This window comes from Homo sapiens, chromosome X, assembly GCF_000001405.40.
Source record: "Homo sapiens chromosome X, GRCh38.p14 Primary Assembly".
Lineage (NCBI taxonomy): Eukaryota > Metazoa > Chordata > Mammalia > Primates > Hominidae > Homo > Homo sapiens.
The window spans coordinates 128,423,907-128,451,190 of NC_000023.11; the positions used below are offsets into that span (position 1 = coordinate 128,423,907).

Below are 27,284 nucleotides of genomic sequence, written 5' to 3' on the forward strand. Positions count from 1 at the left end.
GCCTACTCCATACAGGAGATAAAGTGGTTACAAAAACAGGTGCTGGAGTCAGAGTTACCTGTGTTTCAATCCTGGTTTTCACTAATTTACTATGTAATCTCAGGCAAATTACTTATAATCTCTGATTCCTTAGCTTCCCTATCTTAAGTGTTGGATAATTGTAATAATCAAATAATGATAAAATATCAGGTAATTACAATGTAATATAATCAAGGAGTGACTATTGAATCACCTTTGCCATATCCCATTGGTAGAAGCAAGTCACAGCCCACACCCATGCTCATGGGACGATATTACACAAAAGTGCAGACATCAGGGGGCAGAATATCATTGGAGCATACAATAATATCTACTACACTGTCCATATTCAAAATTTCCAATAATGTCTTTCTATAATTCGGGATCTTATTCAGAAGTACATGTGTTTTTTACTTGTCATATTTCTTCCATTACCTTTAATAAGAACATTTTTCCAAACGTGTGTGTGTGTGTTTGTGTGTGAGTCTTTGATGATGCTGACAGTTTTGAGGATTGCAGGTTATTTGTTTTGTAGACTATTCTACAATATACGTTTGTCTTATTGTTTCTCCCTGAGTGGATTCAGGTTGAACATTTTTGCAAGAATATTACATAGGTAATGTACTCTTCTCCTCTCAGCATCTTATTAGGAACTACATAATGTCAGTTTGTTCCATATTGACGATTTTCTTTGTTCATTTAGTTAAAAGTGGCTTCAGCCATTTTCCCTAATGTGAAGGAATTTTTTTTCATTGAGAGTAATCTTTGAAACAATGTAGTATCCTACTCCTCAAAACATTTTACCATAGAGTTTTAGCATTATTGATAATCCTTTCCATAACCAGTCATTAAATTGGTGATTGCAAATCAAGATTTTCTAATTTTATCTTTTCTTCTTTAACATAATTTGATATTCTTCTATAAAGAAGATATATCCCCTTCTCCTCCCATGCTACCTTTTTTTCTGTGAATGTGAATACTCTTATGAAGTCAGAGGTTTTTTTAATTCAATGTGTTATAAATCAGTTTTGTAAATTTTCCTAACTTTGGCCCCTGAGGGCCTTATTATGTTGGCCTCTACATTCTTTTGTTATGTTTCCTCAGTTTTTAAGCACTTCCTTACTTTCTCCCATAAGTTATTTGCTCCAAGCTGACCTTGCACTTTGCCTGGAATTAGATATTTCCTCAAGGATCACTGACTTCTGGTAGCATGTTATATTTGGACAGAAAGATATGGTTGCTGTATGTGTTCATTGCTACTTGGGGTGTTACCCCATTATTACTTACCAGATTTCTCGAAAACAAACGTGTTTTGTATTCACACCTGTAGCTGTTCACTACACCCACTTGAAATAGACTGAACCTGACTAAAATGCCTGAGAGAAATATGACAGTCAATCTCTTTGCTTCACTGTGATCTCTAACAAACAGGTTATTGATAACTTCTGTCTCAATTATCACAGAAATTTTAAACCCAGTGATGGAATAAGTGGTGGTAAAGAAGAAAAATGAGATAGGAAGAGAGGCAAGGGAGAGGAAGAGAAGGAGAAATAAATATATGCAAGTGTGGAAATAAATTTTGGGTGCACCCCAGGTCTCTGCCTTCAGATAATCACTATTTCTAGTGGCTGGTAGGTGATCTAATCTTAGATACATGGTTCTGCCTACTATCTCTATCTCCAGCCCTGATTTGTCCCTGGAAATTTAGACTTGTGTATCCAACTGCCTCCTTTTCATCTCTACTTGAATGGTAATAGGCTTCTTAAACATAACAGGGAAGAAACAAAAATATTTCCTCCAGCTTCCTCATCATAGCAAAATACAAGTCTTTCACCTGTTGCTCATACTACAAACTTAGAAATAATCCTTGATTTCTCTTTCCTCCACCTCCTATATTCAATTCAGTAAGATTCCTAGCAGCACTATCTCCTAAATATACACTTAACCCTGCCTCTGAATTTAGACTTAACCCTGCCTCCACTGTTAAAGCCTATTCCAGTAATTTAGATTATGATCATCTTTCACCTAGAATTCTCTAGTTGTCTCCTAACAAGATTTCCAGTTTTCTTTCTTGTTCACCTAAAATCCATTAGCCACAAAAATATAGTAATTGATTAAAAATATAAACTGGACATTATTCTCTGACTTCAAACTTTCCAATGGTTTTATTGTTGTCCAATCAAATTCAGACTGCTCATCTTGGCCTACATGGCTATACGTGGCCTCATTGTTCTTCCTTTTCTTCTTGTTTGGTACAATCCAGCCAAAGTGATTTCTTTGATTCCTTAAACATGCCTGTTTCTCATATCAGAGGGTCTCCCTGTTTCCTCTACCTCTACTCCTATTTCTCTGCATGGCTGAATTATTCTTACCATTTAGACCTTAGTTTAAATATCACCTTACCAAAAAAGCCTTTGACCATCCAATATAAACTAGGGACTTCCAGCCAATCTGTCTTGTCATTCTATTATTTTTATCATAGCTCTTGTCAAAATCTGTACTTGTTTAACTTTTTACAGTCTGATTCACCCCCACTACAACGTAGGGGCCACAGGAACAGAGTCTTCGTTTGTTTTGTTCTCTTTTCTATCCCCAGTACTTAGAAGAGTGTCTCATACATAAAGGTGTTGAGTAAAATATGTCAAATAAATACATGGAAAAACTAAATTAAAACAGCAAATATGTGAGGGATGAAGTAGAGTGAAGAACAACTTCTGGGTACATATTATGTAAATTGTGTTGTCAACTGAGATGCATATATATATATATATATATATATATATATACACATAAAACTTACTTTTCTCTTTCCTCAAGATTCTTCAGAAACAAGACAAGAGCCATCACTAGTATATCCTGGCACAGTTTGATATATATATATCAAGGGGAGTTTATTAATTATTCACTTACATGATCACAAGGTCCCACAATAGGCTGTTTGCAAGCTGAAGAGCAAGGAGAGCCAGTCCAAGTTCCAAAACTGAAGAATTTGGAGTCTGATGTTCGAAGGCAGGAAGCATCCAGCATGAGAGAAAGATGTAGGCTGTAAGGCTAGGCCAGTCTCACCTTTCACATTTTTCTACCTGCTTTATATTCACTGACAGCTGATTAGATTGTGCCCACTAGATTAAGGGTGGGTCTGCCTTCCCCAGCCCACTGACTCAAATGTTAAACTCCTTTGGCAACACTCTCACAAACGCACCCAGGACTAATATTTTCTATCCTTCAATCCAATCAAGTTGACACTCAGTATTAACCATCACACCGTATAAACAGATTCATGTTAGGCAAAGGGGGCAGGTGGCAGTGGCTATTACGATGAAAATTCTTGAGGTAAGGTGGGCTTTTTGCCAGCTATTCTCAAATTGCATCACATAGATGATCACACTTACATCACCCACTGTCCCTTGCAGCCCTACATGGTAATCAGGATGCCCCACTCTCTTTTGGAGAGCTATTAATTTTATGACTAACAATTAGCCAACCTGTTTGGGAAAAGAGTCTTTTGTGACTATTCTTCAATTGAATTCATTTAGCATATGCTCAAGATCATCTTTCAAAATAAGTTTGCCCCAATGAAAAGTACAGAACAGGAGAAAACAGGGAGGAAAATATTTATCCCGTTTACCTTTAAGGATAAACAGAAACACCACCCCAAAAAATATACATTGTAGAGACCTAAGTATTTGTTATAGTGACATAGATTTATATTTCATTTATATATTTATATCTCATTTATTCTGAACTACCCCACAGAATCAGTAAAGTTATTTGCTATTTACAGAGAAGAAAATAGAGTCCAAGCTGTTAATTTATTTCCAAGACTTCACCCACATCTACTTGTCTGCACAGCCGTGTTTCCAATCTGTATGTTTTGCTTAAAAATTTTTGCTCTACCAGCTATACTATACTGCTTCAATAAGGGGTAGCAGAATATCTTTAAGGTGGATGAATATATAATTAAAAGGAAAAAATGGATTTTAACTTTCAAGGAAAAATTTTCTCTTTCCTCAGGATTCCTCAAAAATGAGACACGAGCCATCACTAGTATATCCTGGCACAATTTGCCTATTGGTGGGCTCTAAACTTGTCAAATCTCCTCCACAAAACACATTTACCATGACCAATTCTTTAATGATTCCACTCTGAATGTCAAGGATTTGGGACAGTGAAGTAAGTCAGACTTTGCTCTAATACAATGAGAGAACAATACAGAACTCAGCATAAAAGGGACTGTTTCAGACCCATCTAGAAGAATTTGGTTGCTGAAGTAGCACAAAGATCTTACTGGGAGGTTATCTGTCCTATGAGAATGGCATAGCCCCAAGGACTAGATTTGAGTGAGACTCTGGAGGATATCTCAATTTCATTAAAAATATGTTTTATAGTCTTATAACTTTCCAACGTTCAAAAACAAAAATTCATTTCTAGCTGAAACTTGATGTCATTCTTTTCTGGCTGGAAAGTGAAGATTTGGGGAATGGGTGAAAGAAATTTATTAAGTTGTTAAAAATATATGATCCAGGTCTTGTCTAGTTTTCACCTCCCGTGCTCATAAACACAGTTGCTCTCTTCCATGCTTCATTTCTGTCAATCACTGTGACAGGAATAGTGGAATTCCCTTCCTCTGCCTGCCCAAACAATAGCAAAATCGACAAATATTTTGAAGCAGAACCCCAGCATTTTAGTGAAGGTGAATTATTTTCCATTTGCAATATACCTTGAGACCTGTTCTCAGGTTGAGGGGCATGGCGACTGCAATGGTATTTCTTAGCAGGGTTAGCAGTGTGGAATGCATGAGGGTGGGCATTAGTCTGAGCCAGTGGGGAAGGTGAAAGAGCAAAGACCTTATGTAGTATGCTTGATGAAAATGCCTCTAGCAGATGTGCTTAACTCTTCCTTCCAGATGAGAATTCGGAAAACAATTTAAGAAGGAACTTGACAGAAATGTTGACATTTGGGGCATAGATGTTCAAAAACAAAATGAATCGAAAGTGAGCCAACTTAAGATCTAGCAGGGATGGCTTTACTATCCACCATTATTCACTAAGTACTCTTGTAGTAGTTGGTTTGCATTTGGGGAGGGCAAAATGTAAGAAACTATTGTTACTTATAAATATAAGCCTTGCTGAAAAGACTCCATGACACAGAATGAGCAAACAAATGAGAAGATGGAGTCTGGAAGAACGGTATTTGTACACCCTCAGAATGTCTGCTCACTGTAGGAGAACTACCCTGGACAGTGATCTGCCATAGAATGCTGCCCTGTTCTGATCAGGGTGTACAAGCAATGTCTTATTGGCTTGTAGTTCTCAACCCATTGTTGCATAAGAGCCTAATCAAAGAAGACAGCTGTAGATTCAACAATTTATATAATAATTTAAGAAATACCAAAAAAGTTCTGTTTTTCATATATATATAACTTTCTCCCTGATCTCATGACCAACATTCCCACCAGATTTCCTCAGAACCTACATAATATATGACAAAAAAAAAAAAATAGAGGCCAAGGAAAGACTCACCAAGCACACAAGTTTAACCGTATATAGATACACCTAGAAGTCAGTTAAGGCCCTGCAAATAACCAAGTGCAATGCAAGCCACAATGCATATTGTTTAAAAGCTGGAATCAAGTTGCTCAGGTTCAAATCTTGGCTTTGCCACTTATTAGTTATGTGAGTTTGGACAAATTACTTTACCTCTCTGTGCTTTATTTTTCTCACCTGTAAAGCTTTATAGAGTTATGAGGATGAAATAAATAAATAGTTGTAAAGTGGTTGCAACAATTCCTGACATACAGCAAGTGCTATATGCATTTTCTAGTATTCTAAACTACAATCTAAATCTATACAGTATTCCTGCAGTAAGGTACACAAAAAGGAGAGTGTGAGTAAATAAACCTATACTTTAATGTAGGTTATTGTCATAATTCACATTAAAACAAACAAAAATGGCAGGCCAGCCCCATTATCAAGCTGGTCTTCTTCATCTCAGGAAATATTCTTTATCTTCCCCTCTTCTCTGTTCACCATCTTTCCTTCTAGTAACTTAAAATATTTAACTGAATATGCATTACTTAAACAAAATGAAAAATGACCATTCAGCCTCTAGCAAGCGAAAGCATAGTACAAACCCTCAGGACCTGACTAGTACATTCAACTCCTGGAGAATGTTGTCTTTTTTTTTTTTTTTTTTTTTTTTTTGAGTTTTTTGAGATGGAGTCTCACTACGTTGCCAGGCTGGAGTGCAGTGGTGCGATCCCTACTCACTGCAACCTCCACCTCCTGGGTTCAAGTGATTCTCCTGCTTCAGCCTCCTGAGTAGCTGGAACTACAGGCACGCACCACCACACTTGGCTAATTTTTGTATTTTTAGTAGAAACAGGGTTTCACCATATTGGCCAGGCTGGCCTCGAATTCCTGAACTCGTGATCTGCCCGCCTCGGCCTCGAATGTTTTCCTAAATACCTACTAGCCTCAGCCCTCAGTGATCTCTACTTTTCCCCAATTTACACAACAATATATTTTGTAGCACATTCCTAGCACTCACAATTGGAAAAATTATCTCATGATTTTGACTTTGAGACTTGTTTTTTCCCCAAGAAGATTATAAGGTTTTTTTAAGGTCTGTGAATAGAGTTCTATTTTGTTTTACCTTCTGTAACATCTAGCAGAGGGACAGGCATGATATAATAGCTCCACAATGCTTGCTTAATGACTGACTGATTGAGGACTGATTAATTTTTCCACAATTCACGCAACAAACAATCTGACCTTAGGCTACTTCATCTTATTTGAGGCCAAGAAATGAAGTTCAGGGGTAAAATATTAGTATAGTCTCACCATTCCAGAAAAATGTCACCAGTCAACACTCTGAAGCTGTTTTCTTTCCTTCTTTTCACAACCAAACTACTCAATTATTGAAATGTCATATCTCAAAGAACTATACCATTTCCTTTACCAAAATATTGGTATTAAGATTTTGGCAGAAGCACATTACAAACCATAAAGATACTGTGGTTTTCGATATCATTTTGTACACAGGAAAACACTGGAATTTTGGTCAAGCTAGGAAATCTAGAAAAGCTAATAGTATTGTGAATAAAAACAAAGCAGAGGACACCTCCTTGCTTCAAGCAGATAACCAAATATAAATCAGTTTCTTCTGTTCCTATTCTTTCCCGGCACCTTGTCAACTGCTCAATTGCTTAGCTTGGTTGATTCCTCCTTTGCATCATCATTTCTGTTCAAGGGCCACAGTAGCATAAAAAACAGCCAGAGATAGACTTGGGCAGCTGACAGCAAAGTAAAATGTAACAATGGGGTTTCTTTGCAAACAGCATGCCCTACATTGTAAATAAATGGCACCGTCATATTGGGTGGCAATAGTTAAGGCTGTTAACTGCATGCATCTGAAAAATACCTAATGTGAATAAATCACATTGTAGATATCTCCATTCACACTGCTCCAAACTGTTGGCAATTTTCAAATGCTTTCTTTTTATTTATTGAAGAGATCAGCAAATAGGTTGTTTTTGTAATTTCCCTTTGTTTTCTTTTTAATTTTTGGAATTAAAGTTGAACAACTCTAACAATCTAGAGCGAAAGAGACTTACAAAGAGAAGATCTAATTTGTACAGATTACATCAAAAGCAAATTAGAGGTGTTGTTGACCTTTTAGTTTGTGACACAATGATATCTTCTTATCTTTCCCCCATTGTCAGACTGGCTTTTGCTTAGGATTTCCAAGAGAATTGTGCAAAAAATATCATAAAACATATACTAAAATAACAAAATGTCATGTGCAATCATTTATCTATTCAGCAAATGCAAATGTTTATCAAGGATATACTATCTGGTAAGTACTATTAAAAAGAAAATGATGAACAAGAAAGACATAGCCCTTACTTTAAGAGAGATCAAAGTTCAGTAAGAGACAAAGACTCAACAGACATTTACTATACAGTTTTGTGGGTGTTTTGATGGGGAAAAATTGCAGAGTGCCCTGAGATCACACAGAAAGGACATTCAATTCCTGATCTATATGAGGAGTGGGCAAAGACCAAGAACCCCTTCACAGAAAAAATAACACTTTAAGAACTGAAGCCTAAGTAGAAATTAACCAAGTTAGTGTAAGAGTAGGGTCTAGGGAGAATGTTCAAGAAAGAAAGAATAGAATGTAAAAAGTGTCAAAGATGACAGAGAATAATCCATTCAGGAATCTGAAATATGGTCAATACATATGTAACAAAGAAGGCTTGGGAAGCTGTGAGAGATAAGAGGTAACCATTCTGAACCCGGGAGAAGGAGGTTGCAGTGAGCGGAGATCGCACCACTGCACTCCAGCTTGGGCGACAGAGCGAGACTCTGTCAAAAAAAAAAAAAAAAAAAAAAAAAAAAGAAGTAACCATTCAACTCTTGAATCCTACTATGTCTAGCTTGTTTTCAGTGTTTGAGGGCTTTAGTACCAATTCTATCAATTCTATTCATTGTCTTATAATATCAGTATTTGAGCCACAAAAATCTTGTACACCTTCAACAATTTGCCTAGATTTTTTTTTTATTTCCTATGTTTCAGAATTCCTTCATGTAAAGGACAAAATCTCAAATGCACTACCTAGGAATACCTCTGACAGCTTGATTAATTGAAAGAAGAGAGATTCTCAGTATATAACACACTTAGGATTCTCTCCCTAATTTTCTGTTTCTGGTGTTAAATAGGCACCCCCTTTTCTAGGGGTTAGGCATCAAGGATGACTTCATATTTCAAGGGAGACCTTGCCATAAACCACATAGATACGTAGCTTTATTCTGGTAGGCACATCAGCATAAGTAACATTCAATCTAATCCAATGGACCAAAAAGGAGTTATATTCAAACAGCAACAAAGAAGTCATTACCCCACAACTGGAATTTGATTAAGCTATTAAGGTGAATAAGAATAATGGACAGAAGACATACAAATTGCCTCTGCTAATGGAATTACAGGAAATAAAAGACTAACTTTTCCAGCCTTCAGCTCTTATAAATACGAATGTCTAATATCCCTGAATAGATATGTATTTATCTTAAAAGTTTTAGGAATATTTATTCTTCTCATGAACAAAAATGTTCAGAGAAGATTTACACGTCGATAAGATGAAAATGTCATTAGAATAACTGAGCAACTGTGATGTGCAAGACTCTTTTTAAGAGAAGGTAAAACAGGTCTTGGCGTCTGTAAGTTTCCACTCCAATAATATTGACTATGGCCATATTCACCATCAATTTTTCTTGGATTCTTTTAGTTTTCAATTATAGTATAACTATGGAAGAAAAAAAGGAGTGATGTGTTTAGTAGGAGAAATGGGAAGATTGCTTTCCATTGTGCAAATTGTGTTTCACATAAATATTAGCATGCCAGGAGAAGTTTAACAGGTGTTAGAATTTAAAATAAAGAAAACCTGAGTTTAACAAGCTTGAACAAATTTTCTTTTTACAGGAATTTTCAGAGCCTTTTATTTACTATGTGCTCTATGAATCTCCAAGAAAAGGATATCATATGCAACCTTTCCCAAGGGTGTTTGCCCTTGTTTTTATGAAACTCCTCCCACAGAGTCTAGAAAACACTGCAATAAAATGTTAGAAGCTATTTATTTTCAGAAACTTTGGGTATCACCATGAGTTTAAAAATAACACAAAGTGTCATGTGTTGTAAGTGTTCTTTAATATAAATAAATATCATAATTCTAGTATCTCACCTCAGTAATGACATTTTTCCTTGAGGCCTTTGGAGAAAATTAATCTTTTGAATCTCTCAGGTTCCATAGCTTTCTTTACCTGTGCCACAGTTTAGTATACACAGCATGCTGTGGTGGAGAAATCACTGGCAGTGATTGTGGAATGCCAGAATTTTAGTCCTAGCTAGGGAATCATAGAAAGTAGCATTATCCCTGGGCTTTAATTTTTCATCTGTGAAATAAGGAAAATAATACTAGCTCAAATAAATTGACTTATATGTGAACTGTAAAATGCTATGTAATTATGTTATTAGTATAAGTATGAAAATGAGAGAGAACATTCTAGGAAGAAAACTGTATTCACAACTTGGGTCGATAAAATTCTGCTCACAAACAAATTGTTTAAAATATTTGTCAATACCAAATCTCAGCAATATGTATTTCAAATATTTGAGGTAGAAGAATTATACCCAGAGGAGTTATTACAGAATATTAATATTTTTGTATGCCTTACAATGTCTTCGTACATAAGATTTCCTCTCTCCCTTCCTCCTCTGCCATGCCCAATCAATCTGCTGGAAATGAGAGCATTTAAGTAGTTCACTTTGCTCTTTACTTTGCTGGCTGCACAGATGAGAAGTAGTATATTTCAAAGCCAACCTAGTGTTTCATTTCAGCAATTTGCAAAATCCTGCACCTACAGCAATTCCTTGCATATACTTACCTTGAGAGAGTTATACATAGCAAGTCAGTTATCCAAAAATTCTCTTTCGGGAACACAGCAAGTAAAATTTGATTTTTAGAAACTGAGACCCAGTCATGATGGAAGTTTCTCAAGGTGACCCAGCATACTAGACAAGGGAACAAAACTCGAAACTCTAATTTCCTATTCTGACTCCCTCTGATTGTCCAGGCACCCTCCTTAACACAATCAGATTTTACCTATAACAATACCGGTTAATATCTCCTGGTGCTAAAATGGAATTGTAGGCTTGAAAATGGAAATTGCTTACTTAATTCACTCTAAATCGATGTCTCTGTTGATAATGCATCTGCCAATGTAAGTATCAGGGATCCAGCTGGGTACTGGTGCATAGCTCCTCAGCCATTGTCTCAGGATGTCCTTGTGACATTAGGGAGAAGATCAGATTTTAAATCAGGCTTCAGCTGTGCTGCCCTTTCTTCAGCACACATTAAAAGGAATTAGAGTGACCTCCCTGTAAGAGACAAAATGGTAAAAGCATTCTCAAAAGAGATTATTGAGAGGTTCAGGGACTAGTTTAAAGAATAAATTTGAACGACAACTTATAATGGACCCACAGGACCTTTAGATATTCTGTATGGGCTTTGACAAAGGTCTTAAAATGTATGGATGTTGCGTATATGTTTGGGTATGTGTGTTTGCTGAGATGAAAAATATACTGCATGAGAATGTTCTGATTTATAAATCACTGAAATGAATTACGGGTTATGTGCAATTAGACTATGGGAGGACTCTGTGAGGAAAGGAGGCACATCTTAGACATCTCTGAATTGCTATGACTCAGCATGGTACCTGGAACATAGTATGTATTTGGTAAATGCTCATTGGATGAATGAATGAATGAATGCCAAATAAATGAATGACAAAATGCATCTGTATTCATAGACACGATTTTCTTGGCAATTGTCCACAAGTTCCATACCTTGGCTTCTGAGTTATATTAAGATAATATATTCTCATCATGCTCTGTCACAGTAGTACACATATGAGTCCTCTACATATGAGTAGAGAAAGAAGTCAGACATCACTCAACTTAGGATAATTTGATTCACAGGTTTGCATGTGCAAATACAGTAAATTGCTACTCATCCAAGGTAAGTGAGTAACAAGATATTCAAATCAAGTGAATAATCACTTCAGGAAAGGTTGGAAAGCATATTTAACCACTTCTGTACACCGGCTATATTCTATATATTATGGTTGCATCTCGTTTATTTAATCTAATCTTAATCTTTTTAACAACAGAGTGAGGTAGGAATTATTTTCCTCATTTATTTTTAGAAAACTGAGGCTTAAACATGCTAAATAATTTGTCCAAGGCCACAGAGTATGCAGTAAACCAGAGATAGTTTATATATATATAATGCCATCATTCATAATTTTTTCTCATCTCTTGACTCTAGCCACCACCACCTCCTAACACACACACACACACACATACACACACACACACACACCATTGTTAATAAAGCATCCAAACTTCTTCACAATTTGTGATCTTTCCCCTAGTCTTTCCATTTTTTATATATACTCGGCTCTGGCCACAACAAATTATATGTCCTTTTTCTGAGACGTGTCTTCTCTTTGGATATACCTTTCTGACTGTTTGTTCATGATATTTTCCCTGAATGGAACTCCCTTATCCTATTCTTTGCTTAGCATTATTACTGGTATTATCACATTATCGGTTCTACTGGAGGTGTCACCACCACCCAGTGCTCTGAAATCTCTCTGTTCAAGCTGATACATGGCCCTTATCATATTGTAATAAATATAATATATTACATAACATTATACATGGGATAAGATATACACTGCTAAGCCAGAAAAAACTAGAAAAAAGCACTTAGTATCTTTCAGTGTTTCAGAGTCACAGGTAAAACAAAAACTGCTATTCTGGGCACAGTAATATTGTTCTTAAGATCTGATGTTCCACAGCCATAAAGACTTGAGTTTAATATTTCGCCTACACTAATTACTAGGGCAGATCTTGAGAAATTCACGCCAATTCATCATTTCTTCGTTCTGCAAAATTGGAATACAATAATAGTTCCACTCCAAAGGGCTGCTGTGAACATTCAAGTAGACCTTATAAAGTGCCTGGCACATAATGGACACCCAATTGATATCAGCTATTATAATTCTTAAGCTCTAGATGTTTACAGTTACTGATTCATTTAGATGCTATGCTATCAAATATCTGACTAATGAAAGTTTACATTAAGATTCCATTATGCTGAAAATAAATATAGGCCAAGGGCAAATTCTATCTCTTTTGAGTATAAGCTAAATTTGTATCCATATGCAAAGGCCTATGAGCGGTCACCAGGAGCTGTGGGAGTTTAGACAAATTCCTATCAGGAATGTGGACTCCTCATAGTAGGCATCAATTCTGATCAGAATACTTTTGGACTGAATACCAGCCAGATCACCTTCAGAACTAAGCATTGGTCTGTAGTCTAGACCTGTTAGATAGCTGAGCCTAACAGGGCTGGCAGCTGCAAGACCTGACATACAGCTTTGGCCAAACAGGAAATGAGAAAGCAATTTTATAAGCTGCTTCAATAAATTCATGGCGGAGAAATCTTAAACTGAGCCAGCTTAGTTGAGAACTTAGCAGAGAGAGTAACCTGGACTGTCAGATTAATCAGTTAGTGAGCTATCTCTGGTTATAAACAAAAGCCAATTCATTTTTAAAGTAATCAGCTGATCAGCAAATTTAAAAATCATAATAGCTTTGTGGGGTCGGGGGAGGGGGGAGGGATAGCTTTAGGAGATACACCTAATGCTTAATGACGAGTTAATGGGTGCAGCACACCAGCATGGCACATGTATGCATATGTAACTAACCTGCACATTGTGCACATGTACCCTAAAACTTAAAGTATAATAATAATAAAATAAAAAAAGAAAAAGATAAACACCACAGGAAAAAAACATAATAGCTTAAATTACATTTTTAATGAATTTTAAAAATATTTTAACAAAAATATTAGAAGTACTTTTATTTCTTCTTTGAATGCTCATCTGGGAATCTTTTATTGTTTCACACCCTGAAGCCTCTCATGCCCTGTGCTGCCAATTGCTTCCAGCCACTAGAGTTAGAAGCCATTGGAATCTTTGCACGGTACTTTTTTAAAAAATTAATTTTAACTTCCAAGATACATGTGCAGGACGTGCAGTTTTGTTACATAGGTAAACATTGCACAGTACTTTTAAAAGGTTTACTAATTCCAGTATTCAATCCATAAGAACTACACAAACACATCAGTACTTATTGGTTGTTCACATGGTCAGGCATATTCTGTTTGGGTGATGTGATGGAGATTATGTACACAATGGGCAGTGTTTTCTACAGAAGTAGATATGGATGGGTTAATTTATTGAGGTGGATCTTTGATTAGTAATGTGACTTTTAGAGCATTTAGTACAGGTCATGCTGTTTACTAAGCACATTTCATGCATCATCTTATTTAGTCTTCATGCAGATCTATGGGGTAGGTACTTTTTTGTCTCAATTTAATAGATCAGAAAACGGAGGCTCAGAGATGTAGGTAATTTGGTCTAAATCACTCAGCTAGTAAGTAAAACAGTAGAGATTTAATCTCTACTTCTTGAACACATTTTTAAAAATTAAAGAGTTTCAGGTTTTAGCTATGATTCAAGCTTTTCTTGGCGCTTAGACAAGTATAATTAACCAGTCTTCAGGTAAATAATTATGTACAAAGGCTTGAATAGGTAGGTAGATAGATACTATCACAGGAAGATTTTAGAAAATAAAAGACAAATGCACTTTCAGAGACTGCAATGGAGGGAGTTGGATTGGCTATACACACATATATATATATATGAAAAAATTCTGAAAAATTGTCAAATAAGCAATTTTACATTAGTCTTTTTAGGGTGAAAAAGAATAGCATCTTTTTCCCGTTATTTTTTATGTTCACAATGGTCACGACATATTTTCAGTCATCAACATAGCAAACAGAAATACATTCGTTTTTGTTACAGAGTCTAGATTGGGGACCAGGAACACAGAGAATGGCCCTATTATTTTTGGTAAATACATCCCAGGCAAGCCATATAGACTGTAAATCTTCATTCTGATCCTGCACGCGTCCTAATGAAAATGAGCTGGCAAAGTAACACTTCTGTGTGCTTTCAAGTTTTAATACGTATGTTGTAGTATCTACAATTGCTTCAGGTCTCCTTGTCCTTTCACAAGCTTATGTGGTGACCATATTAAGAAGCCAGTTTATTTTCAGCAAAAATGTTCTGTTTTGAAACACACACACACACACACACAAAGTGGAAACAGAAAAGTGGTCGTTGGAAAAAAATGCTCAGCAAGGCTGTTAAAAGTAATTGATGTGCCTGGTAAGTAGAGAATTATAATACTACCTTTACTATGTGAACTCAAATCATGAAGATGTTCTATGACTGTTCAGTGTTTCCATAAATTCAGAGGGTGTTGTTAGTTCTATTTTGGTCTTCTATTGACGGTTCCACTTTGACATTGCTCCTCCCTGTACTTCTCCTTTCCTCTTCACCCATCTATTCCTCTGCCATCTCCTCATTCATTCTTTCTGTTTCCCCTCTATGTCTCTCCGTTCTCTATTTCTCTCTCTCCCTCCCTCCTCCTTTTCTCTTCATTCTCTACCTTCTTCTAGAATAGTAAGCCACCATTAAAATTTTTCATTTATGTGATTAAGCTAATTTTGTTTCTTCCACTACACTGTAAACTCCAAGAGGGGGCTATGACTATGTATACTTTGTTTACTACTCTATTATGAGAACTTATCTCAGCTTCTGGCACGAAGATACTCAATGAATATTTGCTGAATGGATTGATTAAATAATGCCCCAGTTAGCAGTTTTAGACATGTTTTTATGCCCCCTCTTCAATCCTGATCTTTACACTGAGGTTCAGTTGCGTAAACATTAAGCTGGCTTAGGAAACACAAACATAAGTAAATACAGGGAAAGTAGTAAAAATGAGTGACGTGACCCTGGAGTAAAACCAACAGAGAATAGTTGGGACTGTGGAAAAATAGAGAGTATATGCAGTGTTAAAAGGCATTTAAATAGAAAAAAATACATTAGCCAAATGAAACGTGGTCAGTGGGTTGACAGTTTGTGACCACTCTTCTGGCTCAAACAAAACTGCTGTCACTCAATACTGGAAACTAGCCACCATCTCGTGAATCAACCATGGCATGTAAATACTTGTTTATCCGAGGGGAACTGTTTGTTTCAAGGAGTTCATAGATGTATCTGCCAAAGGGTATTCATTCATACCATCACCAGAGAATTAATTTAGGTAAACATCTTTGAGAGAGTTCCAATAGTAAGAGAGAATAAAATTGAACAAAGCAGCAACACAGTGTCTGCCATAAGTTTATCAATTTACTTCCCTTAGGAAACGTTCCTCTGGATGTTAAATGATCTATGAAATTGATTGACTCAAAAGCAAATAAACCCAAAACAAACAAAAATAGGAGAAAACCTTTAAAAAATCTGCAATGCATAATTGTGTATTTTAAATTACATTTAATAGTATATGTATAAAACTGAAAAATTAATGGCAAAGAGTGACAAAAGGGGGACAAAATAAAATCAGGGAAGACTTTCTGGAGATGAGTAACATATTCACCAGATTTTAAAATGTGATAGTAGGAAAGGATTTAATATACCTAATTATATTGAGGGGTTCTTTCATGCCAAGAGCTGTTGTAAACATGCTATGTTATAATGCATTTACTCCTCTCGACAACCCTGCCAAGTTGGTATTATTATTATTACTTTACTGATGAGGAAATGGAAACATAGTGACTTTGTTGAATTCCCCCAATATCCTATAGCTAGTAAACAACAGAGTTGGGACTCAAAACCAGGTTTTACTCATTCAAAGGCCTAAAGCTATTTCATGTACTATATTTTAATAACTAAATCACATAGCTATCTATCTTTTGATAACTAACCAAATATTTTCATATATATCCTTAATATCTATATATTATATAAATTGATGAAATTAATGAAAAGAAATATGACCTATACATTACCTTTTAATATCAAAAAGGAAAATTTCTATAACTATCTATTCCAACAAACCAACAAGAACATAAGAAAATCATAACAGGTTACTCCAAAAGTAAGTAAATACCACTTTTATTTTCCATCTCTTCCTTAACTTCAAAGGCTGAGAAACAACTGAACAATGGCTATGGAGTTTGAGGGAGAAAGAAAATGACAAGATAATTGCATACCCAGCCAAGCTATTATTCACCTATGAGAGCAGCAGAAATATATTTTTAGATATTTAAGGATGATAAAGTTTACTACTTTTCAACTTAGAAAAAGAATAATTCTGGTTGATCAAAATAGCAGACAATGGTTCTCAAAGTATGATTTTTTATAAGAAAGAAAAAGATAATAGTCAAAATAATAATTTTGAGAAGGATCAGTGTGTGATACAAAATAAATCATTGTGAGGAAAGACATTGGTGGTTGGTGACTTATCATGGCAACTGTGATGACCGTGACCAATGTTCCAGAGATCTATGATGTGAGGAGAACTGAGCATAGAGGTGTTCACTCCCACATCTGAGGACTGGGGCTGGATGATGCTTTGGAGGCTCAACAGGCTTCCCAGGGCATGGTGGGTCAGCTTTGCTGCACAGCAGGCAGCTCGTGTGGGGCTGGAGATGATCCATAAAGGGAAGATTGTCAAGTGGGCAGTCCTCATTGCTGGTCAGCTGGGCAGAGGGAAGACAGCCATCGCCCTAGGCATGGCATAGGCCCTGGGACCTGACACCTTGTTCATAGCCATCACCGGCAGTGAGATCTCCCTGGAGATGAGCAAGACCCAGGCACTGACACAGGCTTTCTGGCCATCTTTTGGCATTCACTTCAAGGAGGAGATGGAGATCATCGAAGGGGAAGTGGTTGAGACCCAGATTTATAGACCAGTGACAGGAATGGGCTCCAAGGTGGGCAAACTGACCAACAAAACCAAGAAGATGGAGACCATCTATGACCTGGGCATGAAGATGATTGAGTCCCTGACCAAAGACAAGATCCACGCTGGTGACATGATCACTATTGACAAAGCAATGGGAAAGATCTCCAAGTTGGGCCACTCCTTTACATGGTCTGGTGACTACAACCCCATGGACTCCCAGACCAAATTCAGGCAGCCCCCATATGGGAAGCTCCAGAAATGCAAGGTGCATACTGTGTCCCTTGCACAAGATCAACATCATCAACTCCCACACGCATGGCTTCCTGGCTCTCTTCTCATGTGACACAAGAGAGATCAAGTCAGAGGTTGCCAAGCAGATCAATGTCAAAGTGGCCGAGTGGATGGAACGAAATAGAGAGTTTAAGAATCTATATCTATATCTGTATACCTACCTTTTGAAATGTATTATATGATAAAGGTGACAATAATAATCAGCAAAATGAGAATATATTTTATTTCTAATTGGTACACTTTAAATACTTTTGGCCAGATATATTTTCTTTGTGTGATATTACAACACATACTTCATAATATAACATTCCTGATTATAAGATTCTAAATGTCACTACCACCCCTCAGTTATTGTGACACACAAAAACACAAGTACACAATTACAAATTGATCTTAAAGGAGAGATACTGCTCATAGTTGAGTAGAACTGGTATAAAAGGTATGAGAAAACTCTGCTACCCATCTGTAGTAATGATGCTAAAAACAAAATGAGGTAATATATTAAAGACACCTTCACAGGAACTAAAGATTTAAACATTAAAAATAAAAATCACACTAGAAAAGTATTGTGAATAATTATTAATATTGGGCTTTGAAAGCATGACCACAGTGGGTCAAACTATAAAGACAATCACTGGTAGAACTTTATTTGATAATAACAGTAACAAATTCTAAAGAAACATTGAAGGTAAATGACAAATTGGGGGAGTATTTACAAAATAGAAATAAAGTAAAAGGTAAATATGCTTACATTAGAAACAGGTTTGTGAAAATGAATTTTAAAATATGCAAATAATAAACTTAAGAAAAATATTTAACTGCACAAGTAGTAAAGTAAATGCAAATTAAAATAATATATTGTATCTCATTAACTGACAAAGATAAAAACAAAAGTAACAATACCTAGAGGCAGTGCAGACATGGGAAAATTAGCACTCTTATACATTGCTAATGGCTTACTTGGAAATATGTAACAAATGCCTCAAAATGTGTATGCTATATGCATAAGAATTTCTACTTCAGGGAATTTATCTTAAAGAAATAATCAGAAATTTACAAATACAGAAGTGATTATCATAGCATTGCTCATATAGTGATTTAAGTTATAGGTTATATATAAAAGAGACCCCTTAACATATGGCATGAAAAATAGATACAATTGTGTCTTTCTAATGTAAACAGCCCTTCTAATCTCAACGTGTAGTATTCATCCTTGGATCTAAGGCCACTGCTCCAGTTCTCATTAACTTCCAGTCAAGAGGAAGGTAGAAAATCCCAGGGTAGCACATAGCATTCATTTATTTTTAGGGACAGAACTAAGAAGTGGAACATGCCACTTCTGCTCAGAATTCACTGACTACAATAATCACATGGCCAAAATTGCAACGGCATGTTGTAAACATAGTTTTAGGATGGACATCCATGGGTCCAGCTAACCTTAGGAGTTCAATTGTTAAGTAAAAGGAGAATGGAAATTGATATACATTTATCAGCTTCTGCAGCAATGAAACATTATAACAAGTAAACACTTCCAATGTTTTGATTAAACAGATACATAGGTATCCACATGATGGACTAGCCTCTAGCCATTAAAATTAATGCTGAGGAAGAGCATTTAGTTACCTATGGAAAAAAGTTCTTGCCCAAATCTTGTTCCAGTTGTCTTTATGACACTGCAGATAGGAATCTGACAGCGAAAACACAGTATCTTTAGTAGTCCATGTTCTTATTTGACTATGTTGTTTTGGATTTAAGGCAGAATCAGGCTTCAATAGATACATGGAATGTATTTATCCAAATTACTTACCTAACCCCTGCTACATTTTTTTGATTCCTCAGTTTCTGGGTAATCCTAATTAGTACTTCCATTCCAGTGTTTGATGCAATAACTACTTTTGATTGAGTGCATAAGAATCATTCACAATGCCAAGCATTTTTCTTCCATTAAGCCTTTTATCCTCAAATATTCCCAAGAAGTAGATACTAGAATTATCATCACTCTTGCTCATAAATAAGGAAACAGGCACAGAGTAGTTAAACTTGCCCACATGTACCAGCTAATAAGTGGCAAAGGCAAGGTTAAAATCTCAATCTCACTCTTAAGCCTGTTTTCTTTTTATTATTATTATTATTATTATTATTATTATACATTAAGTTCTGGGTTACATGTGCAGAATGTGCAGTTTTGTTACATAGGTATACACATGCCATGGTGATTTGCCGCACCCATCGACCCGTCAACTACATTAGGTATTTCTCCTAATGTTATCCGTCCCCTAGTCCCCCAACCCCCACAGGCCCCAGTGTGTGATAGTTCCCGCCCTGTGTCCATGTGTTCTCATTGTTCAACTCCCACTTATGAGTGAGAACATGTGGTGTTTGGTTTTCTGATCTTGTGATAGTTTGCTGAGAATGATATTTTCCAGCTTCATCCATGTCCCTGCAAAGGATATGAACTCATCCTTTCTTATGGCTGCATAGTATTCCATGGTGTATATGTGCCACAGTTTCTTTATCCAGTCTATCACTGATGGACATTTGGGTTGGTTCCAAGTCTTTGCTATAGTGAATAGTGCCGCAATAAACATACGTGTGCATGTGTCTTTATCGTAGAATGATTTATAATCCCTTGGGTATATGTCCAGTAATGGGATTGCTGGGTCAAATGGTATTTCTGGTTCTAGATCCTTGAGGAGTCACCACACTGTCTTCTACAATGGTTGAACCAATTTACACACCCACCAACAGTGTAAAAGCGTTCCTATTTTTCCACAACCTCTCCAGCATCTGTCGTTTCCTGACTTTTCAATGTTCGCCATTCTAACTGGCATGAGATGGTATCTCATTGTGGTTTTGATTTGCATTTCTCTAATGACCAGTGATGATGAGCATCTTTTCATATGTCTGTTGGCTGCATAAATGTCTTCTTTTGAGAAGTGTCTCTTCATATCTTTGCCTATTTTTTGGTGGGGTTGTTTGCTTTTTTTCATGTAAATTCGTTTAAGTTCTTTGTAGATTCTGGATATTAGCGCTTTGTCAGATGGATAGATTGCAAAAATGTTCTCCCATTCTGTAGGTTGCCTGTTCACTCTGATGATAGTTTCTTTTGCTATGCAGAAGCTCTTTAGTTTAATTTGATCCCATTTGTCAATTTTGGCTTTTGTTGCCATTGCTTTTGGTGTTTTAGACGTGAAGTCTTTGCCCATGCCTATGTCCTGAATGGTACTGCCCAGGTTTTCTTCTAGGATTTTTATGGTCCTAGGTCTTACATTTAAGTCTTTGATCCATTTTGAGTTGATTTTTGTATAAGGTGTAAGGAAGGGGTCCAATTTCAGTTTTCTGCATATGGCTAGCCAGTTTTCCCAGCACCATTTATTAAATAGGGAATGCTTTCCCCATTGCTTGTTTTTGTCAGGTTTGTCAAAGATCAGATGGTGGTAGATGTATGGTGTTATTTCTGAGGCCTCTGTTCTGTTCCATTGGTCTATATATCTGTTTTGGTACCAGTACCATGCTGTTTTGGTTACTGTAGCCTTGTAGTAAAGTTTGAAGTCAGGTAGCATGATGCCTCCAGCTTTGTTCTTCTTGCCCAGGATTGTCTTGGCTATGCGTGCTCTTTTTTGGTTCTATATGAAGTTGAAAGTAGTTTTTTCCAATTCTGTGAAGAAAGTCAATGGTACCTTGATGGGGATAGCATTGAATCTACGAATTCCTTTGGGGAGTAAGGCCATTTTAACGATATTGATTTTTCCTATCCATGAGAAAGGACTGTTTTTCCATTTGTTTGTGTCCTCTCTTATTTCCTTGAGCAGTGGTTTGTAGTTCTCCTTGACTAGGTCTTCACATACCTTGTAAGTTGTATTCCTAGCTATTTTCTTCTCTTAGTAGCAATTGTGAATGGGAGTTCACTCATGATTTGGCTCTCTGTTTGTCTGTTACTAGTGTATAGGAATGCTTGTGATTTTTGCACATTGATTTTGTATCCCCAGACTTTGCTGAAGTTGCTTATCAGCTTAAGGAGATCTGAGGCTGAGAAGATGAGGTTTTCTAAATATACGATCATGTCTTCTGCAAACAGAGACAATATGACTCCCTCTCTTCCTATTTAAATATGCTTTATTTCTTTATCTTGCCTGATTGCCCTGGCCAGAACTTCCAATGCTATGTTGAATAGGAGTGGTGAGAGAGGGCATGCTTGTCTTGTGCCAGTTTTCAAAGGGAATGCTTCCAGTTTTTGCCCATTCAGTATGATATTGACTGTGGGTTTGTCATAAATAGCTTTTATCATGTTGAGATACGTTCCATTGATACCTAGTTTATTAAGAGTTTTTAGCATGAAAGGCTGTTGAATTTTGTCGAAGGCCTCTTCTGCATATATTGAGATAATCATGTGGTTTTTGTCGTTGGTTCTGTTTATGTGATGGATTACGTTTATTGATTTGTGTATGTTGAGCCAGCCTTGCATCCCAGGGATGAAGCCAACTTGATCATGGTGGATAAGCTTTTTGATGTGCTGATGAATTTGGTTTGCCAGTATTTTACTGAGGATTTTCGCATCGATGTTCACCAGGGATATTGGCTTAAAATTCTTTTTTTGTTGTTGTATCTCTGCCAGGCTTTGGTATCAGGATGATGCTGGCCTCATAAAATGAATTAGGGAAGATTCCCTCTTTTTCTATTGATCGGAATCATTTCAGAAAGAATGGTACCAGCTCCTCTTTGTATCTCTGGTAGAATTCAGCTGTGAATCTGTCTGGTCCTGGACTTTTTTTGGTTCATAGGCTATTAATTATTGCCTCAATTTCAGAGCCTGTTATTGGTCTATTCAGAGATTCAACTTCTTCCTGATTTAGTCTTGGGAAGGTGTAAGTGTCCAGGAATTTATCCATTTCTTCTAGATTTTCTAGTTTATTTGCGTAGATGTATTTATAGTATTATCTGATGGTAATTTGTATTTCTGTGGGATCAGTGATGATATCCCCTTTATCACTTTTTATTTTGTCTATTTGATTCTTCTCTCTTTTCTTCTATATTAGTCTTGCTAGTGGTCTATTTTGTTGATCTTTTCAAAAAACCAGCTCCTGGATTCGTTGATTTTTTGAAGGGATTTTGTGTCTCTATCTCCTTCAGTTCTGCTCTGATCTTAGTTATTTCTTGTCTTCTGCTAGCTTTCGAATTTGTTTGCTCTTGTTTCTCTAGTTCTTTTACTTGTGATGTTAGCGTGTCGATTTTAGATCTTTCCTGCTTTCTCTTGTAGGCATTTAGTGCTATAAATTTCCCTCTATACACTGCTTTAAATGTGTCCCAGAGATTCTTGTACGTTGTGTCTTTGTTCTCATTGGTTTCAAAGAACATCTTTATTTCTGCCTTCATTTCATTATTCACCCAGTAGTCATTCAGAAGCAGGTTGTTCAGTTTCCATTTAGTTGTGTGGTTTTGAGTGAGATTCTTAATCCTGAGTTCTAATTTGATTGTACTGTGGTCTGACAGGGGGTTTGTTGTGATTTCAGCTGGTAAAGTTTCCGCTAAGAAATATATTGTTAGTCTGATGAGGATCTCTTAAATGTGACTTGACACTTTTGCTATTTATAGAATTCTTTTTGTCTTTGACTTTTGATAGTTAGACAATAATATACCTCAAGGAAGACCCTTGTGCATTGAATATATAGGGGTATGTTTGAGCTTCCTGTATCTGGATGTCTATATCTCTTACAAGACTTGGGAAGTTTTCTGCTATTTTATTAAAAGGTTTGCTATGACATTGTGCATCTCTTCTCTTTCTGGAACACCCAAAATTCAAATATTTGGTTGCTTTATGGTGTCTCCTATGTTAAATAGGCTTTGTTCTTTGTTATTTTTTCTTTTTTATCTGAATATTTCAAAGATTTGCCTTCAAATTCAGAAATCAATTCTTCTGCTTTAATCTACTGATAAAACTCTTAATTGCAATTTTTATTTTATTCATTGAATGTTTTCTATTTCAGAATTTCTTTTGGTTCTTTCTTATGTTGTCTATTTTTGTTGAATTTCTAATTCAGAACAGGAATTTGTTTTCCTGATTCATGTGTACCATTTTTCCTTCTTCTCTTGTATCTCACTGAGTTTGTAATATCTTCATTTTGAATTCCTTTTCAGGTATTTCAAGATTTTTCTTTTCATTAAAATCTGTTGCTGGATAATTATTGTATTCCTTTGGAGGTGTCAAATTTTTCTGCTTTGTAAATGTTTCTCATGTTTTCAATTTGATATTTTCACATCTAATGCAATGGTTGCTTCTTTGGTTGTATGGATTGACTTTCATAGAAAAAGACATTTTTCTATACATGTATCTACAGTGTTAGTTTGGTATGGGTGCTTTGGCTTTGATTCTGTGTGGGCACAGTATTGTAGTTTCCATATGTGTATTGGCCTGCTCTCATGCTGCCAATAAAGACATACACAAAACTGGGTAATTTATAAAGAAAAGAGGTGTAACTGACTCACAGTTCATCATGGCTGGGGAGGCCTCAGAAAGCTTACAACCATGGCAGAAGGGGGAGCAAATATGTCCTTCTTTACATGGTGGCAGCAAGACATGCTGAGCAAAAGAAGGAAAACCTCCTTATCAAACCATCAGATCTCATGGGAACTCACTATCATGAGAACAGCATGAGAGTAACCTTCCCCATAATTAAATTACCTTGCACTGGTTCCCCCTCATGACACATGGGGATTATTGAAACTACAATTCAAGAGGTTATTTGGGTTGGGACACAGCCAAACCATATCATTCCATCCCTGGCCCCTCCCAAATCTCATGTCCTCACATTTTAAAACACAATTATGCATTTCCAACAGTCCCCCAAAGTCTTAATTCATTCCAGCATTAACTCAAAATTCCAAGTCCAAAGTCTCATCTGAGACCAGGCAAGTCCCTTCCACCTATGATCCTGTAAAATCTAAAGCAAGTTAGTTACTTCTTAGATACAATGGAAATACAGGCATTGAGTAAATACACCCATTCCAAATGGGAGAAATTGGCCAAAATGAAGGCACTGCAGGCCCCATCCCATTCTGAAATCCAATAGGGCAGTCATTAATCCTTAAAATTTTGAAATGCTCCACTTTTACTCCATGTCATACATCCAGGGCATGCTGATGCAAGAGGTGGGCTACCACAGCCTTGGGTAGCTCCACATCTGTGGCTTTGCAGGGTACAGCCTCCCCTACTGGCTAGTTTCACGGGCTGGCATAGAGTGCCTGCAGCCTTTCCAGGTGCACAGCACAAGCTTCCAGTGGATGGGGTCTGGAGGATGGTGGCCTTCTTCTCATGGCTGTACCAGGCAGTGCACCAGTGGGGCCTCTGGGTGGGGGCTCCAAACCCACATTTCCCTTCCACAGCAGAGGTTCTCCACGAGGGCTCTACCCCAGCTGCAAAATTCTGCCTGGACTTCCAGGCATTTCCACACATTGTCTGAAATCTAGGTAGAGGTTCACAGACCTAAATTCCTGACTTCTATGCACCCAGAGGCTCAACACCACGTGGAAGCCACCAAGGCTTGGGGCTTGCACTCTCTGAAGCAATGGCCTTAGCTGTACATTGGCTCCTTTTAACCACAGCTGGAGCTGAAGCAGCTAGGATGTAGGACAACCTGTCCCAAGGCTGCATAGAGCAAGGTGGCCCTGGGTTTGGTCCAGGAAACCATTTTTCCCTCCTAGGCCACCAGGCCTGTGATAGGAGAGGCTTCCATGAAGGTCTCGGACATGCCCTGGAGATATTTTCCCCATTGTCTTGGTGAATAACATTTGGCTCCTTGTTACTTATGTAAATTTCTGCCACAGGCTTGAATTTCTCCCCAGAAAATTGTTTTTTCTTTTCTATCACATAATAGGGTGCAAATTTTCCTAGCTATTATACTCTGCTTTCCTTTTAAACATAAGTTCCCATTTCAAAACATCTCCTTGTAATGCACAAAACTGAATGCTTTCAAAATAATCCAGGTCACATATTGAATGCTTTGCTGCTTAGAAATTTTTTCCACAAGATACCCTAAATCATCTCTCTCAAATTCAAAGTTCCACAGATCTCTAGGGCAAAGGCAAAATGCTACCAGCCTCTTTACTAAAACACAGATAGCAATATTGACCTTTACTCCACTTCTCATCCAGTTCCTTAACTTTATCTGAGACCACCTCAGCCTGGACTTCATTGTCCATATCAGTATGAACATTTTGGTCAAAGCCATTCAACAAGTCTCTGGGAAGTTCTTTTTTTTTTTTTTTTTGAGACGGAGTCTCGCTCTGTCGCCCAGGCCGGACTGCGGACTGCAGTGGCGCAATCTCGGCTCACTGCAAGCTCCGCTTCCCGGGTTCACGCCATTCTCCTGCCTCAGCCTCCTGAGTAGCTGGGACTACAGGCGCCCGCCACCGCACCCGGCTAATTTTTTGTATTTTTAGTAGATATGGGGTTTCACCTTGTTAGCCAGGATGGTCTCGATCTCCTGACCTCATGATCCACCCGCCTCGGCCTCCCAAAGTGCTGGGATTACAGGCGTGAGCCACCGCGCCCGGCCGTCTCTGGGAAGTTCTAAACTTTCCCACATCTTCCTGTTTTCTGAGGTCTCCAAGTATTTAGGAAGTCCCAAACTTTCCCACATTTTCCTGTCTTCTTCTATGCCCTCCAGACTATTCCAACCTCTGCCTGTAACCCATTTCCAAATGCACTTCCACATTTCCTGCTATCCTTATAGAAGCACCCTACCCTGCCAGTACCAATTTACTTTTTTTATCTGTTCTCATGCTGCCAATAAAGACATATCCAAGACTGGGTAATTTATAAAGGAAAGAAGCTTAATTGACTCACAGTTCAGCATGGCTGGGGAGGTCTCAGGAGACTACAATCATGGCAGAAGGGGAAAGAAACATGTCCTTCTTCACATGGCAGCAGCAAGGAGAAGTGCCGACCAAAAGGGGGAAAACTCTTATAAAACCATGAGATCTCATGAGAACTCAATCACTATCATGAGAACAGCATGAGGTAATTGTCCTCATAATAAAATTACCTCCTATTGGGTCCCTCCCATGACATGTGGGGATTATTGGAACTATAATTTAAGAAGAGATTTGGCTGGGGACACAGCCAAACTGTATCTATATTATTTCTTCAGCTATAATCAGTGTCAGTGATGTCTGAGTTTCTCATTGGCCTATGCTGTCATTGTTAGTTGAGGCTGTGGCAAGGCTTTGTTGGGATAGGGTAACCAAGTCAGTTTGTCTTGAGGCACCAGTAGTGGTGGTGGTGGTGGTGGTGGTGGTGGTGGGTTGGGCATAGCAGTTCTCGGGCCCCTGGGTACTATATATGGACACTGGTGGTCTGGACAAGCTGGTTTTGGGCATCCAGATAGCTTTCTCTAATCCTGGCAATGGCAGCAGTGGGAAGGGCAGGTGGGGGAAGTCCTTGGGCCCCTAGGTAGTGTACATGGTGTTGGTGGTGGCAGTGGCTGTGGTAGGTGAACCTTTGGACCCCCAAGTGGCAGATGTGGACATCAGCT

The 27,284-nt window shown here is 37.4% G+C and overlaps 1 long non-coding RNA gene and 1 pseudogene across 1 annotated transcript in view; one reads left to right on the forward strand and one right to left on the reverse strand.

Annotated features, from left to right (window-relative positions):
• LOC107985698 (uncharacterized) overlaps nt 1-27,284 on the reverse strand; it is a 375,495-nt gene that overhangs the window by 101,710 nt on the left and 246,501 nt on the right. The window contains exon 5 of the long non-coding RNA XR_002958819.2: nt 10,750-10,953. This is a non-coding gene — a long non-coding RNA (uncharacterized LOC107985698). The remainder of the gene's footprint in view (nt 1-10,749; nt 10,954-27,284) is intronic.
• RUVBL2P1 (RUVBL2 pseudogene 1) lies at nt 17,023-17,876 on the forward strand (annotated as a pseudogene).